Source organism: Homo sapiens, chromosome 3 (genome assembly GCF_000001405.40).
Source record: "Homo sapiens chromosome 3, GRCh38.p14 Primary Assembly".
NCBI classification, from domain to species: domain Eukaryota; kingdom Metazoa; phylum Chordata; class Mammalia; order Primates; family Hominidae; genus Homo; species Homo sapiens.
Genome location: NC_000003.12, coordinates 183912519 through 183929509, shown reverse-complemented (window position 1 = coordinate 183929509; position 16991 = coordinate 183912519). Strand labels below are relative to the sequence as shown.

Genomic DNA, 16991 nt, shown 5'->3' with positions numbered 1-16991 from the left:
CCAAGAGAAAGAGGGTGCATTTCTAAGTTTGTACGTATGGAGAGATTTATTTTTTATTTTATTTTATTTTATTTATTGAGATGGAGTCTCACTCTGTCGCCCAGGCTAGAGTGCAGTGGTGTGATCTCAGCTCACTGCAACCACTGCCTCCTGGGTTCAAGCAATTCTCCTGCCTCAGCTTTCTGAGTAGCTGGGATTACAGGTGCCCACCACCACACCTGGCTAATTTTTGTATTTTTAGTAGAGACAGGGATTCACCATGTTGGCCAGGCTGGTCCTGAACTCCTGACCTCAAGTAATCCACCCGCCTCGGCCTCCCAAAGTGCTGGGATTACAAACATGAGCCATTGCACCCAGCCGAAAGATGTATTTTAACAAATACACGCACAGGAAAAAATCTAGAAGGATATTTGCCGATATTTGCATTTATAAATTGTTCTATAACTAGTATTATTTACATAGTAAAAATAGTAAAAGAATAAATCAAGTTTTATGGAGCTGAGGAGGTGGCCCAGTGTGCTGTCAGAGCTCCCATCTGTCTGGTTGTGGAATGAGCCGTCTGTGACCATCAGGGTTTGGAGTCTTCTCTCCCTATGCATGTGTGTTAAACATCTTCCACAGACAGCCTTTGCCAATGGGTCGCTTAGGGTGGGACCACTGAGAAATTCCTGTGTTTCTCCCTAGATCAAATTTGGACCCCTTCAACCAGTACACTGAAGACCAGATTTGGGATGCCCTGGAGAGGACACACATGAAAGAATGTGTAAGTGAAGAGCTTAGGGGAAGCCGTGCTGAGATGGTGAGGGTGGAAGCACAGCAGTGCCCTTGCCACACCCCGTCTGCTCTGGCCGTGCCTCCAGGATGCCTGTGGACAAAGGCTTCGTGGCAGGGCTCTCCAAGTCTTTCAGATACCTGGGAAAAGCTGATCCCTCTCAACCCCACCGCCCACACTGCCTACGGTCATATTGGCCTTGCACTATCCATTGATTGAAGATAGTAATGACAACTACTTAGAATTAAGTGATGCTTTTAATTTATTAGTCATAACAGTGTAACATACTTTGAAGCGTCCACATATACGCAAAAGATATATAACGTGGCCGGGCGCAGTGGCTCTCGCCTGTAATCCCAGCACTTTGGGAGGCCGAGGCAGGTGGATCACCTGAGGTCAGGAGTTCGAGACCAGCCTGACCAATATGATGAAACCCTGTCCCTACTAAAAATACAAAAATTAGCCGGGTGTGGTGGCATGCACCTGTAATCCCAGCTACTCAGGAGGCTGAGACAGGAGAATCGCTTGAGCCCAGGAGACAGAGGTTGCAGTGAGCGAGAGCGCACCACTGCACTCCAGCCTGGGCAACAAGAGCAAAACTCTGTCTCAAAAAAAAAAAAAAAAAGATACATAACATATTGAGTCTGCAGAAAGCACACAGTGTGCATATGGACCATGGACCACAGACATTTTGGGACAACTCAGTAGGCCCTCACAGGCCCTCACGAGCAGCTGCAGTCTACAGGTTGATACCACTGGCCTAGGGTGAGGCTTCTGTTATGCCTGGGTTGAGTCAGGATCCAGGATCCCCTGCCCTAATTCAACTATTAGTAGATGAGTTCTGTTTTTTCCTCTGCTCTATCGGGATTCTTCTCATTTGAAGAATAAGTTCTGCAGCTTACAAAAAATGTTTCACAGGCACGGGCCTACGGCTTTGGACTTCAGAAGGAGAGTACTTTTCCTTACTATACTATTTCCTATTGCAAGACCATATTTTCAGAACCAAAACTTAAGGCCCACTATGTGACTGGATTTTGGGGACATGAAAGCGTTGGGATTTCTGGGATGTTTTAATGGTATAAAGCTAACAGAATAGTCTATTGGAATCAGGGACTGCCTTGGAAGTGGGTCCTAGCACGCATGATCAGTACACCTGCACCTTCATTCCAGATGAGACAGGTTCTTGGCTAATAGTTCTTTCATCGCTTTCAGAATCATTTCTTTCTGTCCTTGGATTTTCAGGAAATTCAGCTTAGTTTCTTACCCCTCTGATCTCTAGTTTCTTTCTCCCTAGATTGCTCAGCTACCTCTGAAACTTGAATCTGAAGTGATGGAGAATGGGGATAACTTCTCAGTGGGGGAACGGCAGCTCTTGTGCATAGCTAGAGCCCTGCTCCGCCACTGTAAGGTAAGGCAGTTTGGGGTTGGCAGCAGCAGAGAATGGGAATGTTTTAGTGCAGCCTTGCCCTGACACACTGGGGTCCAAAGGTATTCCTGGCTCTGATCCCTGTTGGCACTTTCTAAGAGCATGACCAGAGATAACTCTAACCCTGACACAATTTGGGTATATTGGTTCTGGGGAGGGAGAACAGGGTTGCTTTGTTTTTACCTTCATCCAAGACCAACTTTTGTTTCTGGCCATTGAGTAGTTGTACGACTGCAAACCATAGACATAGAAGATTTTTTTTTTTTTTGAGACGGAGTCTTGCTCTGTCTCCAGGCTGGAGTGTAGTGGCCAAATCTCGGCTCACTGCAACCTCCACCTCCCAGGTTCAAGTGATTCTCCTGCCTCAGCCTCCCGAGTAGCTGGGATTACAGGCGTGCGCCACCATGCCCAGCTAATTTTTGCATTTTTAGTAGAGATGGGGTTTCACCATGTTGGCCAGGATAGTCTCGATCTCTTGACCTCGTGATCTGCCCGCTTTGGCCTCCCAAAGTGCTGGGATTACAGGCGTGAGCCACCGTGTCTGGCCGACATAGATTTTAAAATTGCAAGAGACTTTAAGGTCATCCAATCCAGCCCCTTCATTTTATAAACAGGAAAAGAATGTCCTTTTGTCCAGTATGTTACCAGCCATATTGGATTCAAGGGAAAAAAAGAATTAATTGTACATGCTCACTGTCACAGAGCATGTAGGGGCAAGTATTTGATTAAATCCGTGGTTTTGTTTTGTTTTGTTTTGTTTTTGAGACAGAGTCTCACTCTGCCACCCAGGCTGGAGTGCAGTGGTGTGATCTCGGCTCACTGCAACCTCCACCTCCTGGATTCGCGCGATTCTCTTGCCTCCGCCTCCCGAGTAGCTGGGACTACAGGTGCGCGTCACCACGCCCGGCTAATTTTTGTATTTTTAGTAGAGACAGGTTTTCACCATATTGGCCAGGATGGTCTCGATCTCTTGACCTCGTGATCCGCCTGCCTCGGCCTCTCAAAGTGCTGGGATTACAGGCATGAGCCACTGCGCTCAGCCTAGATCAGTATTTTACAAATATGCTGTTTTGGAAATCAAGGCAAACATGGTTTTGAAATTGTATCACTTCTAAGCAAAAGGATGTTTTTACATATATGCGTGCTTTCTTAGAAAAAAAAAAAAAAAACAATAGGCTGGGCACGGTGGCTCAAGCCTGTAATCCCAGCACTTTGGGAGGCCGAGGCAGGTGGATCGCAAGGTCAGGAGGTCGAGACCATCCTGGCTAACATGGTGAAACCCCGTCTCTACTAAAAATACAAAAAATTAGCTGGGCGTGGTGGCGGGCGCCTGTAGTCCCAGCTACTCAGGCGGCTGAGGCAGGAGAATGGCGTGAACCCGGGAGGCGGAGCTTGCAGTGAGCCGAGATTGCGCCACTGCACTCCAGCCTGGGCGACAGAGCAAGACTCCGTCTCAAAAAAAAAAAAAAAAGAAAGAAAAGAAAACAATAGATAGTGTAAAACTTAAATGAAATACATTTTAGTAAAATCTAGATTAACCAGAATGCTAAAGGAATTTAATCGAGTTTCTTTCTCCTCTGCTTCTCTGGCAGATTCTGATTTTAGATGAAGCCACAGCTGCCATGGACACAGAGACAGACTTATTGATTCAAGAGACCATCCGAGAAGCATTTGCAGACTGTACCATGCTGACCATTGCCCATCGCCTGCACACGGTTCTAGGCTCCGATAGGATTATGGTGCTGGCCCAGGGACAGGTACCGAGTCCTTCAGGAACTTTGGCTTGGCATGTCTGGGAGGAAACTGGCCCCTGGCAGGGATGGACTGATTGCCATCTTTGTAGGGTTCTGGGCATTCAGATAAGCACTTGCAGCAGCGCTATTTACTTGCTATTGGGAGGGATACAGCCTCCGAATCACAAGATTACTCAGGCACCTCTGATGGGGTTCTCATTTTACTTTACTAATTTGTCCTTTTGTTGCTTGTGAGTAGCGACACTGACTTAAGTCAGAGAGTACATGTACTTAGTGATTCATTCACATACACAATGATCACCCCTGGCATACTTAGGCCAGAGAGTATAGATACTTGTGATTCATTCACATACACAATTATCATCCCTGGTACATGTACTTAGTGATTCATTCACATACACAATGATTACCGCTCCCGGAGGCCTACTGAGACCAGCCAGCACATGTTTGCTTTTTTGCAATCACGCAGCGGCACCAAACTTCTTACCCTGTTGTTTCAGGCGTTCCCACAGCCTGGCCCTAGCCTTGCCTTCTTCATTTTCCACTCTTCCTTTGCAGGTGCGGTTGGCTATAGACATCTTGCATTCTCCAAGCTTTTTATCTGTCTTTAGTCAGATAGTTCCATCTACCTAAAAGGCCCTTTGCCCTTCTCTCTCCCATATCCACCTGCTCTCAACCTGCCTGTCCCTGAAGAATGACATGGCCCAGATGCCAAAGCCTCCATGAAACCCCCTGGCTGCCTCAGCCGCCCTAGACTGTATCTGTACCTCTCTTGTAGCTCTTCTGTCTCAGTTGATAGGAATTGTGCAATGCCCTGTCTCCCTAGAGAACTCCCTGAACGCTCTCTGAGGGCAGAGTCACCGCTCATTCATCTTTAGGGCCCCAGCAGTGCTTAGTACTACAGTTCTTTATACAGGTGATGTTAAGTACATTTATGTTAGACAAATACCTCTTTTGCATGCCCCTAGGATACAAGTAAATTAATAATTTGGAGGAAATAGCAAGCCATTTATAATGGGTAACATGTCTTCTATTGTAGAAGCTCCCACAGTGACAGCTACTATAATAGCTACTTCTACTGAATGTTTACTGTGTGTCAGGCACTGTGCTTAGTGCTTTACATATAATCTCTCAACATACCATCAGTCATCACAACAACCTAGAGAAAGACATAGCCTGGATTCTGCTTTACACATGAGGAGACAAAGTCTCAGGGAAAGTCCATAGGAAGTGGAGTAGGCCGGGCACGGTGGCTCATGCCTGTAATCCCAGCAGTTTGGGAGGCCGAGGCGGGCAGATTGCCTGAGCTCAGGCGTTCAAGAGCAGCCTGGGCAACATGACGAAACGCCGTCTCTACCAAAAATACAAAAAATTAGCCAGGAGTGGTGGCACACACCTGTAATCCCAGCTACTAAGGAATTTGAGGTGGAAGGATCATTTAACCCTGGGAGGCAGCGGAGGTTGCAGTGAGCTGAGATAGCGCCACTGCACTCCAGCCTGGGTGACAGAGTGAGACCTCATGTCAAAAAAAAAAAAAAAAAAAAAAAGCAAACAGTAAAAATTGGTGGGATTTAAAAAAAAAGGAAGCGGAGGAGATGGGACAGGACTCAGGCCAGCAACCGCACTGCCAGCACACTGTCTAAATTGTGGAGAAATATTGAGAAAAGGTTAAATAGCGCAGGTTCAGCCTGGGCTTCAAAGCTGAATTGAGAGAACTTGGGGGCTAAGGATTTTTCTCCTCATCTTGAAATTATTTTCACACTAGTGTTTTTTGTGACTATCTTTGTTTGCCTTAAACTAAGTGTTGACTGAGATTCTGTCATACATAAGATACGTTGAGCTACTACTTTGTAAGTAGGTGTTAAAATAGAGCCTAGTAAGGTATAATAGATGGGACCAAGAACATCTTCTGGGAAATTCTTTTTTTCTTTTTTTGAGCCAGAGTCTCGCTCTGTCGCCCAGGCTGGAGTACAGTGGTGCAATCTTGGCTCACTGCAACCTTCGCCTCCGGGGTTCAAGCGATTCTCCTGCCTCAGTCTCCTGAGCAGCTGGGAGTACAGGCATGTGCCACCATGCCTGGCTAATTTTTGTATTTTTAGTAGACACAGGGTTTCACCATGTTGGCCAGGCTGGTCTCGAACTTCTGACCTCAGATAATCCGCCCACCTCAGCCTCCCAAAGTGCTGGGATTACAGGCACAAGCTACTGTGCCCAGCTGGAAATTTTTTCTTAAGAACACAAATTGAGACCCCTTTCTTTCGATGGGTGGCTTGATGTTTTGGAGTGGGGAGCCCATTCACTCTTTATGAGGGACTCTATCCTTCTCTTCCCTTAATTTTTTTCTTGCTAATTAAAATTTCCTTGTAATTTCAGGAAAGCCTAAAAAAAAAAAACCACACACACACCAGAAAAGCATAAAGGCAAAAACAGGATGATAAGCCATTTACCCCCAGAGACGAGCATTGTAATACACTGACTTACCCCAGCTGTGTTTTTCTTGCATCTGCACACACAGACTCCAACAGATGGGATGCTCTCTGCCGCAGACACAAAATACCAGACTAAAAGGGGTTTGGAGGATGGGATTTTGTTATCCCACATGGGTTGGTTTTTGTGCAGCTCAGCAGTGTGGGGCTCTGTATCACTCTCAGCCAGTACTCACCTTCCCCTGCTGGTACAGGATGCCTGCTCAAGCACCCAACCAAAGGAAGGACACGTGTCCAAAGGAAGGACACGCTTATGTTCTCCTTGTGGCCTGTCCACTGAGCAGGACACCCTCTCCTAAAGCACCAAGGAGACTTCCTCTTACATCTCCTTAAACAAGGTTATGTTCCATGCCTTTGCCCTGTGGCGGGGGCGGCTGAGAAAGTTGAGTACATGCATTTCAGCCTCTGCCACAGGAGGTGGGTTCTGCCAGCGTATCATTCAGGGTTCTGCTGCCACATGATTTTCCACGGCTACATAGAAGTCCATCATAGGAATGGCCACCTGACTAAGTCACTCCCTGACTTCCTTTTTCTCCCCTGACAACTAGACATTCTGAGCTCTTCCATTTCCCTCTATAAGGTTAGATCAGCTTGCATAACAAAATGGCATTTGTCTGGTGTGCCCTTGACTTGAGCTGCAACTTCTCTCCCCTGCAGTTTATTTATTTTATTTTGTTTATTTATTTATTTATTTTTTTGAGACGGAGTTTCGCTCTTGTTGCCCAGGCTGGGAGTGCAATAGCACGATCTCTGCTCACCACAACCTCCGCCTCCCGGGTTCCAGCGATTCTCCTGCCTCAGACTCCCCAGTAGCTGGGATTACAGGCATGCACCACCACACCCAGCTAATTTTTGTATTTTCACTAGAGACAGGGTTTCACCATGTTGGTCAGGCTGGTCTCGAACTCCTGACCTCAGGTGATCCGCCTGCCTCGACCTCCCAAAGTGCTGGGATTACAGGCATCAACCACCGCACCCAGCCTGTTGTTTTTTATTTATTTATTTATTTATTTATTTATTTATTTATTTATTTATTATTTTGAGGCAGAGTCTCGTTGTGTCGCCCAGCCTGGCATGCAGTGGTACAATCTCAGTTCACTGCAACCTCCACCTCCTGGGTTCAAGCGATTCTCCTGCCTCAGCCTCCCAAGTCACTGGGATTGTAGGCACCCGCCAACCATGCCCAGCTAATTTTTGTATATTTAGTAGAGACAGGGTTTCACCATGTTGGCCAGGCTGGTCTTGAACTCCTCACCTCAGGCAGTCTGCCCACCTCAGCCTCCCAAAGTGTTGAGATTACAGGCGTGAGCCACCAGCCTCCTGCAGTTTATAGACCTGGTTGGTTGGTTCCTTCACTCCCAAGGCTGAAGGAATTTGGATTTATGTGAAGGAGGTCTGGAAGTCGTTTTCTTTTTTTTTTTTTGCTATGATACTACTTTATTAGGCAAAACCACATACTACAAAAATGCTGGAAGTCATTTTCTCTGTCCTTTCCCTTACTCCCTGGATAGTTGAAAATAAAAAAATAAGGGGGGAGGTGCACGCAGGGCTAGTTGAATTGTCCCCAGATTCTACCCTCAGAGGGCACTGGCACTTACTGAGCCGTGGATCCTCTGAATCACCCTGCATGACCCAGAGCTGTGTCCTGACGGCGTCTCCTTCTTTTGCAGGTGGTGGAGTTTGACACCCCATCGGTCCTTCTGTCCAACGACAGTTCCCGATTCTATGCCATGTTTGCTGCTGCAGAGAACAAGGTCGCTGTCAAGGGCTGACTCCTCCCTGTTGACGAAGTCTCTTTTCTTTAGAGCATTGCCATTCCCTGCCTGGGGCGGGCCCCTCATCGCGTCCTCCTACCGAAACCTTGCCTTTCTCGATTTTATCTTTCGCACAGCAGTTCCGGATTGGCTTGTGTGTTTCACTTTTAGGGAGAGTCATATTTTGATTATTGTATTTATTCCATATTCATGTAAACAAAATTTAGTTTTTGTTCTTAATTGCACTCTAAAAGGTTCAGGGAACCGTTATTATAATTGTATCAGAGGCCTATAATGAAGCTTTATACGTGTAGCTATATCTATATATAATTCTGTACATAGCCTATATTTACAGTGAAAATGTAAGCTGTTTATTTTATATTAAAATAAGCACTGTGCTAATAACAGTGCATATTCCTTTCTATCATTTTTGTACAGTTTGCTGTACTAGAGATCTGGTTTTGCTATTAGACTGTAGGAAGAGTAGCATTTCATTCTTCTCTAGCTGGTGGTTTCACGGTGCCAGGTTTTCTGGGTGTCCAAAGGAAGACGTGTGGCAATAGTGGGCCCTCCGACAGCCCCCTCTGCCGCCTCCCCACGGCCGCTCCAGGGGTGGCTGGAGACGGGTGGGCGGCTGGAGACCATGCAGAGCGCCGTGAGTTCTCAGGGCTCCTGCCTTCTGTCCTGGTGTCACTTACTGTTTCTGTCAGGAGAGCAGCGGGGCGAAGCCCAGGCCCCTTTTCACTCCCTCCATCAAGAATGGGGATCACAGAGACATTCCTCCGAGCCGGGGAGTTTCTTTCCTGCCTTCTTCTTTTTGCTGTTGTTTCTAAACAAGAATCAGTCTATCCACAGAGAGTCCCACTGCCTCAGGTTCCTATGGCTGGCCACTGCACAGAGCTCTCCAGCTCCAAGACCTGTTGGTTCCAAGCCCTGGAGCCAACTGCTGCTTTTTGAGGTGGCACTTTTTCATTTGCCTATTCCCACACCTCCACAGTTCAGTGGCAGGGCTCAGGATTTCGTGGGTCTGTTTTCCTTTCTCACCGCAGTCGTCGCACAGTCTCTCTCTCTCTCTCCCCTCAAAGTCTGCAACTTTAAGCAGCTCTTGCTAATCAGTGTCTCACACTGGCGTAGAAGTTTTTGTACTGTAAAGAGACCTACCTCAGGTTGCTGGTTGCTGTGTGGTTTGGTGTGTTCCCGCAAACCCCCTTTGTGCTGTGGGGCTGGTAGCTCAGGTGGGCGTGGTCACTGCTGTCATCAATTGAATGGTCAGCGTTGCATGTCGTGACCAACTAGACATTCTGTCGCCTTAGCATGTTTGCTGAACACCTTGTGGAAGCAAAAATCTGAAAATGTGAATAAAATTATTTTGGATTTTGTAAAACTCTTCGTGTATCAAACAATTCTCTGGGAAGGGAGTGAGATATCCCTGAATGGCTTTGGGACCTGCATATCCAGCAATGGAGTTGCATCTGGGAAGGACTGGTAGCAAAGCTGGTTGGTTGCAAGGGCCATGGGGCCCTGAACACCTGGAATCATCTCTGTGGGCCTTAGTCCCGCTGCCTGTGTTCCTGGACATGGTCCCCAAATAAAGCTCCTTGGCTGCCCATAAGAGGGTGGGGAGTGGAAAGGTGAGTGGTTGTGGTGAGGTGGGTGGTCGTGGTGAGATGTATTTAAAATGAATAGTTTATCGAGGATTCTTAGCAATTCAAACAATATAATTACCCTTTCAGCCAATTCATTCAGATTCACCCATTGAAAATTAGTAACCCCGTCTCTACTAAAAATACAAAAATTAGCCTGGTGTGGTGGCAGGCACCTGTAGTCCCAGCTACTCAGGAGGCTGAGGCAGGAGAATCACTTGAACTCGGAGGTGGAGGTTGCGGTGAGCTGAGATCGTGCCATTGCACACCAGCCTGGGCGACAGAGTGAGACTCCGTCTCAAAAAAAAAAAAAAAAAAAAAGCAAAGGGTACTCATTCTAAAGTTTCTGACTATATTGTGTTGAATGCAGCCAAGAAAGCTTTTAAACTGGTATTAGTTTGCTGGCCATCAGTAGAAATTATACTAATTTTTCTAAAGTACCTGTGCTGTCGTGAGAACCCAGGAGCTTGACTCTAAAGTTAAAACTTTAGTTCCTAGAGTGTCACATTTCAAGCGCTCAGTAGCTGTATGCGACCTGTACAACATAGTAATGTACAGTGCAGATATAGGACGTGTCGATCATTGCAGGAAGTTCTGTTGGGCAGCTCCAATCTAAACGGTAACCACTTTTACTGAGGCACTAGATTTATCTTCCAAGAAGGTAACAAGGTCAGCAGAACGAGACCCTTCAAACTGCTGGGATTACAGGCATGAGTCACTGTGCCCAGCCTAAATTGGATTTTTAAAAGCAATTTCCATTTTGCCATTTTGTGCTTTCCCAGCTCATAATTCTCTGTTGCCAAGTAGAGTAGGCTAACAGGTGTAAGAAACAAGCCCAGACTTTCAGCAGTTTACCACAGTAACCAAACTCCTGTAGCAAAGCAGTGTGGTCTGTGGAGGGGTGGAATGAAGGTTCTGCCCGTGCGTTCAGGAACCCAGTCTCCCTCCCTCCTGGTCACCCTGCAAACCTCTAGATTTGAGCTTCTCTGCTGGATCCACTGTGCTGATCAGAGAAGAGAGCACAGAATGTTGAGCAGAAAGTGTTATGAAACAGGCCTGAAAACATTAGACATCGCTTCTGTGCTCGTTTTCTTGGCTAGAACTCAGGGGCACCTGTAAGCTAAGCACTGTACTAGGTACTTCTAGCATGGCCTTACGTGATTTTCTCAACCACTTTACAAGGTAGCTAAAATTAAGCACATTTTGCTGATGAGGAAAGGCTCGTGAAGATTTAACTTGTCTCAAGCCAATATCCAGTATGAAGTGAATCACACAGAATTCAAACCCAAACAGCCTGCTCCCAGAGTTCAAGCTGTTCCTCATCTCATGACCTGAGCTTCAATTTCATCAGCAAATTCAATTTCATCAAATGCATGTGCTAGATCAGATTGCCTCTAAGATTTCTTCCAGCTCTAACTCCATGACTAGTGTGAGTCCATAACTAGGACCTGAAAAACCTGGATCCTGCTCACCTCATTTGGGACATGGCTCTAGAACTCTGCCTCTTCCTCTTTGCTTCCACTAGGGAGGTGGTGTGTACTGGGAGCAGATTTCCTCTTTTCCTGGAATCTTTTCTGTGTCCTGTTTCTTTCTGCCTGTGGCCTGAATTCAGCATTCTTCCTTGGCTCAGGCAAACTCCCTTCTACCTGCTCAGGTGGACTCAGCTTAGGAGGACTAAGCTGGCTGCTGTCCAAGTGAGAACCATCAGAGCTAGTACTTGGTCTCCCGCAGACCTGGCACAGCCCTGTTCTCAAAGGGGAGCTCCATACCCAGCTAGGACAGGCCAGCACCAGGCAGTTAGGACCGTGGGCACACACCTGTTGGGGCAGAGATACTGACGTTGCCTGGAATGGTTGGTTCACGGGGCTAGGGGCTGGGGGAGACTTCTCTGACTCATTTTTTGTGTCCTTGACAAAGAATCTGGTGGGCTGCAGTCCTGGGGCCATTCTGACCACTGGTGAGAAAAAAGGTGCCGTGAGGCCCACTCTGGGAGTCTCCATCTGATGTCATTCCCATGGGCCTCTGAGAGTGGCCTGCCCTCCGGGAACTTTAGCTCCCCACTTCTTCCAGACTTACTGATCCAACTGCCTCTTCCCTCAGCCTCCCAATACCTGGACTCCAGCCCCCTCGGGCTCTTTTCCCAAAAACTATTTATTGAACAGTCACTAGGTCCCATACCTTCTGCTGGGCACAGGAGACCAGAAACAAGACACAGGGAGATTATAGTCCAAAGGAGAAGAGAAACTTTAAGTAACTTGCTCACTTTTTCTCACCCTTTCTCCTCCTCTGAGTTTCTCGGTCATGACCTAGGAGTCCAGGGATGGCACCTGGCCAGTCCTGCCCTGGGTTATTCAGAGACACCCTTTCTCTCTTGTCCTTGGTATTCCCTATCTCCGATCTCCCTTCCTTTCCTAGGATGTGGTAAGATCTAAAGGTCCATTGTAATAAGGATGTGGGCCTGGGGCTGCTAGTTTCTGGGCCCTGGGCAACTCCTCCAGCCACAGGAGTCTTCAGGCACCAGACTCTCCGGACTAGCCCACCACGCTGCCTCTCAGTGCCAAAGGCGTGAAGTCGTCAACAGAAAGGTTTTGCTAGAGCAGCCTCTGTGTATATTTTCTCTGGGATCCTGACAGCTGATCAAAATACAGGGGCTGGATCCCAGCCACCTACCATTTGATATAATCGCTGGCATTCATACTTAGATAATAAGCAAAACAATGTTTGGCTAAGAGAAGTGACACCTTGGGAACATACATGCCATCCCGCCATGCCTACGTATGATCAGGTTCTACCCTTCAATCCCCAGCCGAGCCGTGTTGTACTTGGAGAAAGACTACCACTCCTTCAGTTTCAATACCCTTGGCGAGTCCTGGAGTCACTCTCGGAAATGGGCACATGAAGAAACCTGCTACTTCATCTTCCATAAAATCTCTGTTGGCAGGCCAGGCGTGGTGGCTCACACCTGTAACCCAGCACTTTGGGAAGCCAAGGTGGGCAGATCATGAGGTCAGGAGTTCGAGACCAGCCTGGCCAACATGGTGAAACCCTGTCTCTACTGAAAATACAAAATACAAAAATTAGCCAGGCGTGGGGGCAGGCACCTGTAATCCCAGCTACTTGGGAGGCTGAGGCAGGAGAACCACTTGAAACCGGAAAATAGAGGTTGCAGTGAGTTGATTGTGCCACTGCACTCCAGCCTGGGCAACAAGAGTGAAACTCTGTCTCAAAAAAAAAAAAAAAAAAAAAAAAAAAAATCTCTGTTGGCAGTTGTGTCCACACAAGAAATCCCTTTCAGAATCTGATCTCGGGAAAATTCTCTGCTTCTCAGTGAGGATTCTGGAACACATTGTTTCCTCCTTCTTATTTTAGCCGACAGGAAGCTCAGGGCCCTGTATGTTTATCTCAGCTTGTTTCCCTCATCCTTCATAATATTTTGATCTTTCCTTTTGACCGTCTTGAATATTATTTATTTATTCATTTATTGAAATGGAGTCTCGCTCTGTCTCCCAGGCTGGAGTGCAGTGGCACGATTTTAGCTCACTGCAACCTCCACCTCCCGAGTTCAAGCAATTCTGCCTCAGCCTCCCATGTAGCTGGGATTACAGGCCCGTGCCACCACGCCTGGCTAATTTCTTTATTTTCAGTAGAGATGGGATTTTGCCATGTCGGCCAGGCTGGTCTCGAACTCCTGACCTCAGGTGATCCACCTGCCTCGGCCTCCCAAAGTGCTGGGATTACAGGCATGAGTCACTGTGCCCAGCCTTGAATATTTTTAATATTTTAAATAATAGCTGCCATGAATCATTCTCGGATAAGATGAATATCCTGGGAACAATAAAGACATCATTCTGGTTGGATGGCTAATTCTACTGCCCTTGATGGGGTGCGATTGTGGGTGTGTGTGTTGGGGGCAGGGAGGGGGAGGATGTTGGCTGCCCTTTGCCACACTCTTCGGACACGAAGCCTCTCCCTGTGCCCTGAGATCATCCTGGCTGGAGCACAGCATGGCAGTGGCGAGTCCCACTGCCCCGCTCCCCTTACTCAAAGCTGGGCTTGAAGGAAAGCAGCTCCCCGTGGGAACTCCACTGGAACACTCTGCAAAATTCTAGATGCTGAGTTCATTGCAAGCTGTCAGGCAGCACGTCATCCTTTCTTCATCTACGAAACCTGGGGATGTGCAGAACCACTGGTCATAGAGTCACACCAAGAGTGAAAGAAGGAACTATTGATAATAAAATATGCAAAGCAGGGCTATGTCCTCTAGCGCTGGCCCGTGCCCTGGCTTGCCTGGATGTGGTCCCTGAGTCTGCCCCTCCTTCAGTTAGAGGATCCTGGGTCTCCCAGCCCTCCCCAGAAATAGCTCCTGTCCTTTGGGGCCTTCACATAATGTCTAGAGGCAGGCAAGCCCCCTGTATTTGTTCCCATTCACTCCCATGGGCACTGGGACACATTGGACAAGTTAAACACAACCGCAAGGAATGGAATTCTCCTTCTGTGTTCAGGTGCATGGAGGTAACTGGAGGGGGGTCTCTTCTGCCTAGTTCTCATTCCTTCCACCTCTAGTGGTCTCTGTAGCTCCTTATTTTTATCTCCTCCCTTTCCTAGTCAGGGAGAAGTAGGGGGTGGGCCTACCTTGCTGGAGTGGGGGTGTGGGGCGGAGCAACTTCCAGGCACTGAGTGTGGAGTGGGTACTGGGTTTGGGTCGCTCTAGAAGGGGAAAGGGGTGTTCTTTTGTTCTGAGATCTATCCACAGGAGGGGGTGTTGCGGGATCTACAGTGAGGGTCAGTCTGCTATGGGAAACGGCCCCTGCCTGGGCACAGGCCCATGGCTAAAGCTGTTGATCCAGCATTCCTTAACCACTGTTTCTCCAAGGGCCATGGAAGGGGCTCTCCCCTGGATGGGGTCTGCAGACAGACAAGGGAGGAGAAGAAAGAATACACCAGCTCTGAGGCCCTGGGGCAGCCTCAGGCGGGAAGCACACGCCAGGCCCGGGGGCAGCCTGAGCCACACGGAGGCCTCTGAGGCCAGGCCGGAACCTTTGGAAGTGTGACTAGCTCTGCTTCCTCGTGTGTGTGTTCTCTTAGCCTATAGGAACCTTCCTTGTGAGAATGCCAGCCTGTCACAGCTGGGAGGCAGCTGTGGAAAGAGAACACTGAATTTGGAGACTGAAGGCCTGGGTAGAATTGTGGCCGCCCTCCCACTTCCTTGAGCAAATCACTACACCTGCTGAGCCTTGCCTTCATCTGTGAGGGGATGAAGCCTTCACATAATAGCCTTCACCGTGCTGTAGAGGGGATAGATTTAGAAATTTGGTGTGGAAATACCTCATATAGGGAAGGGGCGCAGCCGCGTCATCTGTCATCTTAGTTGAATTGTTTTTGTTTTGTTTTGAGACGAAGTCTCGCTCTGTCACCCAGGCTGGAGTGCAGTGGTGTGATCTCGGCTCACTGCAACCTCCGCCTACCAGGTTCAAGCGATTCTCCTGCCTCAGCCTCCCGAGTAGCTGGGATTACAGGCACCCATCACACCTAGCTAATTTTTGTGTTTTCAGTAGAGATGGGGTTTCACCATGTTGGCCAGGCTGGTCTCGAACTCCTGATCTCGGGTGATCCACCCACCTCAGCCTCCCAAAGTGTTGGGATTACAGGTGTGAGCCACTGCGACCTGCCTGAGTTGTTCTTAGAGGAGCAGAGGCTGAGTGTTGTCCATTCTTGGCCTAGAAGTCAAACAAGGAAACAGAGAGGCCTGTGGTCTGGGGGGCAGGCATGGCTGGAATCATAAGGATATCACTGAGGGGGAAGGTGCAACTTGGACAGGGGCTGCCACAGGGTCAGCCACTCTGCATGGGAACTCCTGTAAGGGGGACCGTGTGGCCCACCTCCACCTGCTCACTGAGGAGGCCGCAGCTCACAATCAGACACGGAGGGCCTTGGCTGGGCGCAGGAGGGGCCGGTCACCCAGGGCCTCCGCTCCAAATCTGTGTTCCTGTGACCTGCCACCCTGGAATCTGATCGCACCCTGGCCCGTTGTGCTGGGTAGTCTCTGTTCCCAGTACCGTGTCCCAGCCTTAGCTGCCAGCATGCTGTCACCCTTGGGCACAGAGGGAGGGTAGGAAGTTTGTCAAAGTTCAACACACTTGGAAATGTTGAGCAGGCAAATCTCCTTTTGGGATGATAAACTTTAAGAAACAGCTACAGGCCGGGTGCGGTGGCTCACGCCTGTAAACCCAAAGAAAGTTGAGAACTGGCGCCTGCCCTTGAACTGCTCATGCTGTGTAATCAAGGCGGGGCGAACACAGTGATAACAGGGCAAGTCTCAGCCCAGAACAAAGCAAGGGCCACTGTGGGAGACGGTTGGTGTGTTTGGAGGTAGTAGAGATTGGCGGAGTAGCTAGTGAAGCTTTCAGAGGCCTGCAGTCTCTTCAGCAGTATTTTGAGGAGGGAGGAACGTGATTTGTTGGAAACAGAAGGCAGGGGTTTGTGGAAATTGCAGCAGTATTACTATCTGCACAAGCATAGTACAAATAGCACTTCCATAGCACAATCCATAGCACTTTCACACCAGCTCAGCTTATCCCCCAGCAGCCCTGTGGGGTAAGCACTGTTATCATCACATCAACCTGAGATAAGGTAGGTAGAAATTCTAGAGATGGAGATGCAGGGGTGAGGTGCTCTGAGCAGAGGGAACTGCAGACGCTTGTTAACAACCTCTCCAAACAGGTAGGGGCTCCAGGCCTCTGATATCTCTGTCCCTTGACTTTTAAAAAATTTAGTAAAATAGATGCAACATAAATTTTAGCATTTTAACCATTTTTAAATGAACAGTTCAGTGGGATTAAGTACATTCACATCATTGTGCTATCATCGTGACCATCCATTTCCAGAACACTTTTTCATCTTTCCAGACTGAAACTCTGTACCCACTGAACACTGTCCCTTGACTCTCTAAGCCTCAAGTGGAAATGGGTCTCTGTCATGACTGGCATTATGCCTATGGATTCCCTAACACATCTTTGCAAACACTCTTTTTTTTTTTTTTTTTTTTGAGATGGAGTCTCGCTCTATCACCCAGGCGGGAGTGCAGTGCTGCGATCTCAGCTCACTGCAACCTCTGCCTCCCAGGATCAAGCGATTCTCCTGCCTCAGCCTCCTGAGT

The 16991-nt window shown here is 48.2% G+C and overlaps 1 protein-coding gene across 6 annotated transcripts in view; it reads left to right on the top strand.

Moving 5' to 3' along the window:
* Positions 1-9576, top strand: part of ABCC5 (ATP binding cassette subfamily C member 5) — a 97951-nt gene extending 88375 nt beyond the window's left edge. For 5 of the 6 annotated variants that reach the window (NM_005688.4, NM_001320032.2, XM_005247059.6 and 2 more), the window contains 4 exons: positions 685-763; positions 2067-2180; positions 3791-3955; positions 8109-9576. In NM_005688.4, the coding sequence (NP_005679.2) occupies positions 685-763; positions 2067-2180; positions 3791-3955; positions 8109-8210 (460 nt within the window). In that variant the 3' untranslated portion in view covers positions 8211-9576. The other variant, XM_011512315.2, reaches the window with a different exon arrangement.